Consider the following 9527-nt stretch of genomic DNA (forward strand, 5'->3'; position numbering starts at 1 on the left):
AGAAAGAAATAGATCATCATCATCATCAAGTTTGGTCTTCAGGTAGAGGTAGAGAATGTTGAGAGAAGATTGTACCATCATCTTCCTTTTGCAAAACACTTTTTTCCAGTGACATGCTTTTTTTGTGTGTTAGTTTGTTTTGTTTTGTTTTGTTTTGTTTTGTTTTGTTTTGTTTTACAATATTGACAGAGACCAGGGAATCTTCGTTTGGTGATTTATCTGGGAGCTTACATCTACTACAATTGAAGCTTAAGAATTTTAATAATTTTCTTTTTTTTAGTGTTTTCAAGGGTGGAGGCAAGTTGTTTTGCTAAATTAATTAGATTAGGAGTGGGCATGGTTTTCCGTTCTGTGTGAGCTCTTTTAAAAGCTGGGAAAATTTTGACAGAAGGCTATTCACAAACATGGAATTAAAAGCTACTCTAGTGGGATCAACTTTTATAGGTCATCTGGCATTAGCTGGGGAAGTTTTAAGAGACACAAGTTTGGAGCATTTGAATGATTTATTTAGCGGACATAAATTATCATTGATGTAATTTGTCCATTTATTTAAAATGTACATGAGAATGGACCATAAATTTTGAATGTATAGTCTGCTAGAATCCCAGAAAGCTTACCATATCTTAATATGCAAGTATTTTATTCCATTTCTTATTAATCTTTTGAGAGCAAAGAAAATCTTTGAAATCTAATCAGGGAAGGTCAACGGTTTGGACTGATGTTTTAAATGATAGAGACCACCCTATTGTCTTTTCGTTGGCCATCTCATCCTCACTATTTAGAATGTCTTTTTTGCCCTCAGAAAATGTTCAAAAACAAAAAAGGAAAATCCAAATTATTTACAAACATACGTAATCAAGTTGTAATGAAAGCAAAATCAGAGTACTCACAAAAATTTGAAGCCAGGCATTCAGATCAAACAAATGTTAAACCAGATACATAAAACCAAAAGTGAATTCACCAGAAAACATATGGTCCTCACAGTCAGAATGTAAACTCTGTAGGAACAAGAGTATTCTCTAAAAGAACTATGTCTTTATATTAAAAAGGGCTTGTCCAAAAAAAAAAAAAGACATTGCTAATCCCAAGAAGAATGCAAAGTCCTTTACATAAGTTAGACTTATTACAAAATCAGATTCTAAATAAAGTGAAAAAGAACTCACTAAAGGGAGGAAGCCTGAGAATCTGAGGGGAGATTCACCCAGACAGAAAACGTGACTCAGGGAAGAAAAGAACACAAAGAGCTCAGTCCGTACCATAGTCGATTCCAGGGCCTGCAGATCCATCTGAGGTGAGCTCCCTTTGGTCCCAATTCTGAGACACCAATTTATGTCGACTCAAATAACGGACATAGGTAGGCTCTCTAAAATAAAATAATATTTATTCAATAATAGGCATTGAAGTTGAAATATACATGTCTTAATAAGCTGTGCATATTCAGGGAGGTAAAGAAAGACAAAAAGTCTTAAAGGAAAAATTAGGAGAATTACATATTTCTTTTGAGATCATTTTTTCTTGATTACAAGGATCAGTAAAAAGGATGGCACAGTCCAAATCTGGACAGGCAGTTGCTGGGCAGATGGCCTTGAAGAAGTATTTTTTATGTGTGTGTGTGTGTGTGTGTGTGTGTGTGTGTGTGTGTGTGTAAGGTTGTGATGGTCTTTGTGCAAGGTAGCTGTTTTTGCAGAGTCTTTTGTGATAAGTTTTGTTATCAGGCATTCATGCATGAGAATCCTCCCCATATGGCCTTCCCTGGCCCTGTTTGTCAACGGTTTTAACACAGATGACTTTATTTTGATTCTGACAACTTTCCCATCATTGCTATCTTTGTACAAAAAGAAATGTACCTCCTTTCTTACTTTCTCAACTCTTAATTCTAACACTGTACATGAAAAACATACTGCTATTGACTACATATAAAATTATAATATTTTATTGCTATTCATTAGCCATTTTGAAGGCAGTAGAAAAGTGAAAATAAACACTGATCTTGATAGGGAAAGAGAATATAGTTTAGAAACCATCATTCTACCCAGTAGTTATTGTAAGTAATATTTGGGTGGTGTGTTAGATTTATATTGTTCCTATAATAAATTGCCACAAATTTAGTGGTTTAAAATAACACAGGTTTATTATGTTATAGTTCTAGAGGTGGAAAGTACTAAAGTCAAGGTGTTGGCTATGCCCTTCTGCAGGTATAAGCGGGGAGGGTCCATTCCCTTGTAAACACAAGAGTCTGCCCACATTCCTTGGCTCCTCATCCTTTCCTCCATCTTCAACTCCAGCAGGGGAAATACATTTACTTCACTTTCACTTCTGCTTTCATGGTTACCTTTTCTTCTCTGACTCTGCTTCCATCATGGCAATATCTTCTCTCTCTTTCTGACCTTTCTGCCTTCTTCTAACTCTCTAATGTAATCCCTGTTAGAGTACATTAGAATCTGGATAATTCAACATAATTTCCTCATCACAAGATCTTTAATTTAAGCACATCTGTAAAGCCCCATTTGCCATATAAAATAACATACTAATAGGCTCTGGAGATCAGAATATAGACATCTTTGAGAGGCTGTTATTCAGCCTAACCCACATGGTATTGATATAGCTACCTACATGGACACACACATAAACACACATTTCAGCATAAATTTGGGGATTTTGACATTTCCTTCTCATTGATCCCAAATACAAATTGTTTCTTTCCTTGACTGGCTGGAATTTCTGTTTAAATTTCTGAATCAAGGCATTAGAGGAGTTTCTAGCTTCACTGCAGCAGATCATAAGATAAAGATCTTGAGTTTTCAGTTGAAAGTAAGTCTAAAATTCAGTAATAATGAGATATGGCTGTGGAAAAATATGTTTAAAGAATTTTAAGCTGCAATAATAAAATTATGTCATCTAGTACAGCTGGGATGATATGCAGACTGTCCAGAAAACCCTATATACTAGCTACATGTACTATACCCATATATATTTATTCCAGCAGCTTCAAATAGCCCTGTTCCTAGCTAGACCTAATCAAGAAGACAATAAAAGATTTGGCAAAATTGTTTGAAGTTCTTGAGGCTGTTGACAGAGAGAATAAATAATTCATTTAGAAAGTAGGATTAGAAAGACATTTCTTTTCACAGTATTTTAAAAATTAGAAGGATTCAAAGGAGGTATCTTGCAAGGAAAAAGGGCTTTTTTTTTTTTACATTGTTGTAACTTTCAGTATCAAAGTCAAAACTCAAATACTGACTTTCTCATTCTAAGTCCTGTCTTCTGTGCATAACATCACAATGGTCTATAATGGTTTATGAAATATTACTGAGAGAATCAAATATGCAAAAGCCCATAGCAGAACCTGAGGAACAATGTTGTGGCCTGTGTAAATGCATGGAATCTGGAGCCGGACTACCCCAGAACAAATACTAATTTGTACTGTACTACTTGTAATACAAGTACTAATTATTAGCAGGTTTCTTATTTGTAAAATGCTGTTAATTTTGTCTAATTCACAGGGTTTTTTTTACCTATGAGAAATAAAAAAAGTTTATATATTTAAAATATTTTGCAATGGGTAAGAGCTCTTTCAGTATTAATTAATGCAATAATGAAAATTATTCTCTGGCACAAGAGAAGAACTCAGTAATTTTAGTTTCTATTTTCAACATGAAAATGTTACTATGGAAATAAATTAACATATATTCTAACATTACAACAGAATTTCTAGAAATCCAGAGAGTGGAAAAAATAAATTTGAATAAGATATCATCTTGGGTCTTTTTTATAATGTGAAATTTTCCTATTCACTTTTCAAGACAGAGCTCAATAGAAGTCAGTTCTCAAATCAGATATTTTCTTAACTTTTTATATAATCCTCAATTCCGGGTTCATCTAAATTAGGTCTTAAATAAAAACATTTTCATTTTAATGTTAATAGGGATATTAATGCTAGCATATGTCAAAGGAGGAGAGAAATGGTGGCTGTAATTGTGTATTTTGTGTGCCTTCTCATAACAGATTCCTTTGTATATAGCAAATGAGTAGAAATATCTTTTAAAATCTTAATTGGTAGTTGTCTGAATAGTGCCAGAATAAAGAAAGAATTTTACCAAAATTTTCCATTTTGCTCATTATTGTTTGCAGGGGGAATAATGGTATTTTGGTGACTATCAGTTCCCCATATTTGCCTTATTCACAGGTACTACAGTCCCAGTAATATAACCCAATTAATATATTTGACTCATAACCTCAATCAGGCTAAAGTGCTATAAAAGATACATAATTTGATTAAAGTACACATATAAATTTCAAATTTGTTTCTAAAATTTTAATCTGTTAAGACATAACATAAAAAATGTGGGTGCACTATACATATATCACTCCCGTATTATTATCTTCTGCATATTCACATCTTTGAATTGAATACACTATAATGAATCTTGGCTTCATCTAAGCTACTAATGTATTTCTCTCAAAAATACCAGACAATAATTAGACTGGGAGAATGAAATACATTCATTCATTGTAAGCTAGCACTAAATATGCATTTCAATTTGGTGCTTTGAAATTTATACATTTTTTACATTGGTTTAAGTATCTCAAGTTAATGTTCCTGTATTTTAAAATGGCTTTTTTTTTGGTCAGAAAGATTTCTCTTCACTTTTTTCTTCATGGCTAATCAGGATAAATTGGATTAAAATGATCTATTTAAAAGTTTAACACTGATCTTGTACTGCTTAAGGAGGATCTTCAATTGATTAATAGATTTCATGTCAAGATATATTTACTGGCTTTGTGTAATAATAGAAGTGGTAGAAGGAAGGTGAAATTAAAACTTCACTAATACTATCATTATTCAAACGATTTATCTTCCACAAATTCTATCATAACTTACTTCCAATCCCTAAATTGTTTAATGTTATGAGTACATAGTGATGCCAGTAGTGTCAGTTAGATTCCATTTTTTCCAGAGTCATTCTATATTGTGCTTCACCTAGTTCCTTCTTTTAAAAACCAACCTATTGAAATAAATGAACAAATCCATCTTTCCTCTGGCTTCATGTTTGTTTCAGATAATGGGAAGACCCAGTGAGAGAACAAAGGAGTCAGTGATTTTTGTAACAAGGTTAAGCGTGCTAGATTGAGTTAATACATATAAAATTCTCACTCACTGGATCATTGACTAGGAAGGTTGATTCTTAGTCCTGAGATAAGGAAGGTATTCAAAGAAGATGCTTTGGGACGTAATATAGGTGGCCAGGGTCACAAATATATCAAAAACAAAAACCGGTGCAACAAAGGGACAAGAGTGGGGTGCTGTTTTGGAGGACAGTGCTGTTAGATTATTAAAGATCATATTAGGCTTCTTCAAAATTTGGTGTGTGACTGATGTGTAGATTTTTGGCTTTCCATTGCAAAATTATTATTGGAATAAGTAGCAATCTTATTGCTGTAAATTGAATGTGTCCTCCCCTGACCCACAAATCCATATGTTGAAGTTCTAATCAGTGATGTAACTAGATTTGGAGATGGGGCCTTCAAGAAGGAGGCAGTTAAGGCTACATGAGGTCATAAGGTGGGATATGGATAAGATAGAATTATTGTATCTACAAGAAGGGACTTCAGAGTGTTATCTCTTTCTCTGTCCATGAAGACAGAGCAAGAAGGCAACTGTTTGCAAGTCAGAAAGACAGATTTCATCAGAATTTCCACCATGCTGGCACCCTGATCTTTGATTTCCAGCCTCCGGAACTATTAGAAAATAAATTTCTCTTTAAGCCACCTACTTTATAGTATTTTGTCATGTGAATTATGTATTAGCCTGACTAATACACCTGTATTGTATCAACTGTATTCTATTCCTTAATTTTAAACCATGATTCGCTTCAAATACTATGGTGTCAAAATAAAATTTGATTGTATATCTAATGACTTATATATAAATTAATTTTGACATTTAAAACAATATAAAGGAAAGCTTTCTGTAAAAGAAGTTGATTCTCACAGGTTTTGCTTGATTTTTTGTTGATGCTGTGGAGAGACAAGCTCTTGGAGCTATCTACTCTGCCATTTTCACTAATGTCTTTGTTCTTTTTTAGATGCCCTAGTTATTCTTCAATTACTCTTGCAAGGAAACTATTTGGAATCAGAAGCAACACAAGTTAACATGTTTTTCACAACCATAAATGTAGTTTACATTTTTAGAATCTATATTTATTGAAATAGTGCCAGTAGCCCATTATTTTGACATTGTATTAGGAACCATACCCGTAATAAGAGAATCAGGAAACAAATGAGAAACTACGTTGCTCATAGCACTTTGATTGTGAGAAAGCTAATCCCTTTGTGAGTTCTGCTATGAATGAGATAACAGAGCAATAGCCTGTGGTAAGCATAAACATAAAGGAAATTAACCTTGTTAGTCCAATAACAGATAGACCATTGAAAAGGTATTCCTCTGATTAATCTACTATGGTTTTCTTATAGGAAGCATTTATAATTAAATAAATGGGTTTTTCCTTTTCTCTGTAAATTATCATTGCTTTTCAAGCAATTCCCCTTTAAGGGTACTTTATATGAGTATCGTTTTAATGTGGTATTGACATTTTGCTGTGATTATCTATCTTGTCCTATTATTTTCCAATTCCCATTATTAAGACCTTGATGATTATAATGAGGATGATGATTAATTTTTTTATCAAAGCATTAGAGTAAAAAAACTGTCACTTCATTTTTGTCCCAAATTCTAAAATTGTCTGTAGTCTTCTTAGAAATTTCCTGAAAAAGGCAACTGTCTAATCTTATCTGGTGGATGCTTCTCCGAAGGACTTGATTTCCTGGGAATACGACCAGCCCCCAACGACCCCTTGTCCCCACTCCGGCTGTCCCTTGGCCTGGGTCCTAGGGAAGGAAGCCATGCTGGGGCACCAGGACTACAAGACTGCCATGCTGTCGGACATCAAAGCCCTCATTCTCAAGCACGAGGCCTTCGAGAGCTACCTGGCTGCGGCACACCAGCACCGCGTGGAGCAGATCGCAGCCTTTGCCCAGGAGCTCAACGAGCTGGATTACTATGACTCCCACAATGTCCACACCCGGTGCCAGAAGATCTGGGACCAGTGGGACGCCCTCGGCTCTCTGACCAACAGTCGCAGGGAAGCCCTGGAGAAAACAGAGAAGCAGCTGGAGGCCATAGACCATCTGCACCTGGAGTATGCCAAGCGCGTGGCCCCCTTCAACAACTGGATGGAGAGCGCCATGGAGGACCTCCAGGACATGTTCATCATCTACACCATCGAGGACACTGAGGGCCTGATCTCAGCCCACGACCAGTTCAAGTCCACCCTGCCGGACGCTGACAGGGAGCACGAGGCCATCCTGGCCATCCACAAGGAGGCCCAGAGGATCGCTGAGCGCAACCACATCAAGCTGTCAGGCAGCAACCCCTACACCACCGTCACCCCACAGATCATCAACTCCAAGTGGGGGAAGGTGCAGCAGCTGGTGCCAAAACGGGACCACGCCCTCCTGGAGGAGCAGAGCAACCAGCAGTCCAACAAGCACCTGCGCTGCCAGTTCGCCAGCCAGGCCAACGTCGTGGGGCCCTGGATCCAGACCAAGATGGAGGAGATCGGGCTCATCTCCACTGAGATGAACGGGACCCTGGAGGACCAGCTGAGCCACCTGAAGCAGTGTGAAAACAGCATCGTGGACTACAAGCCTAACCTGGACCTGCTGGAGCAGCAGCACCAGCTCATCCAGGAGGCCCTCATCTTCGACAACAAGCACACCATGGAGCACATCCGCGTGGGCAGGGAGCAGCTGCTCACCACCATTGCCCCAACCATCATCGAGGTGGAGAACCAGATCCTCACCCGCGACGTCAAAGGCATCAGCCAGGAGCAGATGCAGCAGTTCCGGGCGTCCTTCAACCACTTCGACAAGGATCATGGTGGGGTGCTGGGGCCTGAGGGGTTCAAGGCCTGCCTCATCAGCCTGGGCTATGACGTGGAGAACGACCGGCAGGGTGAGGCCGAGTTCAACCGCATCATGAGCCTGGTCGACCCCAACCATAGCGGCCTTGTGACCTTCCAAGCCTTCATCGACTTCATGTCGCAGGAGACCACCGACACGGACATGGCCGACCAGGTCATCGCCTCCTTCAAGGTCCTGGCAAGGGACAAGAACTTCATCACAGCTGAGGAGCTGCGAGAGAGCTGCTCCCCGACCAGGCCGAGTACTCTATTGCCCGCATGGTGCCCTACCAGGGCCCTGACGCCGTGCCCGGTGTCCTCGACTACAAGTCTTCCTCCACAGCCCTGTATGGCGAGAGCGACCTGTGAGGCCCCAGAGAGACCCGGACCCAACACCCCCTATGGCCTCCAGGAGGGGCCGGGGCAGCCCCACAGTCCCGTTCCTCCACTCTGTATCTATGCAAAGCACTCTCTGCTGTCCTCCCGGGTGGCTGGGTGGGCAGGGAGGGGCTGGGGCAGGCTCTCTCCTGTCTCTTTTTGGGAGTTGGCCAGGAGGTTCCCCCGACCAGGTTGGGGTTGGGGAGACTTAGGGCCAGCGCTTCTGGTCTGGTAAATATGTATGATGTGTTGTGCTTTTTTAACCATCTTGCAGGAGACAGTGGATTCCCACAGCACAACCGGTCCCTTCCATGCCCTGGGGATGCCTCACCATACCCAGGTCTCTTCCTCTGCCCCGAGGTCCCTTCAAGGCCTCCCCATCCAGGCCAAAGCCCCATGTGCCTTGTCCAGGAACCGCCTGGGCCATGCGAGGGGCCAGCAGAGGGCGCCACCACCACCCGACGGCTGGGGACCCACCCAGCCCCTCTCCCCTCCCTGCTCCAGACTCACTTGCCATTGCCAGGAGATGGGGGCCCCAACCAGCACCCCGCTTTCGCAGCAGAGGAGCTGAGTTGGCAGACCGGACCCCCCTGAACCCCACCCCATCCCACCACCCCGGCCTTGCTTTGTCTAGCCTCACATGTCTCAGATTTTCTAAGAACCAAAAAAAAAAAAAAAAAAAAAAAAAAAAAGGAAAAAAAACACAAAACAACAAAAAACAAAAAAAATCACTAAAAACACAAAAAAACTATAAAAACTTTCAGAGAATTACTAAATAAACAAATAAATAAATAAATGAAGTTGTTTCTTACATCAAATCTGCATTGTTACAAATTATATAATTTTGCTGTGGATCACCGGAGAGATCAACAGCTAGTTGATATTATCTTTTAATGATAAGAGTAGAACGTTTTAGACAGCCATTTAATAGTGACAGGAGAAGCAAAATATGAATAAAATGTATGTTGAAAATTCATTGATATTTTTCAGGTCAACGTTGAAATCACTTCAGAAAGGTTTTTATGTTTTTTGGAGTGATATTCTCCAAACTCAGTAACTTATTACAACATTCGTTGCTAGGAAATTATGTACAATTTACTATACTGAGTTTATTATAGGATACAGCTCTCTAGTAGTTTTAAGATTAGCATTTCAGTGCACTCATCAGTCACTCTTTAATATAGTAAT

General features: G+C 39.2%; 1 pseudogene; it reads left to right on the forward strand.

Moving 5' to 3' along the window:
- On the forward strand, positions 6879-8527 carry ACTN4P1 (actinin alpha 4 pseudogene 1; annotated as a pseudogene).
- Positions 8528-9527: the final 1000 nt, after the last annotated feature.

The sequence above is a fragment of the Homo sapiens genome, chromosome 4 (assembly GCF_000001405.40).
Source record: "Homo sapiens chromosome 4, GRCh38.p14 Primary Assembly".
Classification (NCBI taxonomy): Eukaryota; Metazoa; Chordata; class Mammalia; order Primates; family Hominidae; genus Homo; species Homo sapiens.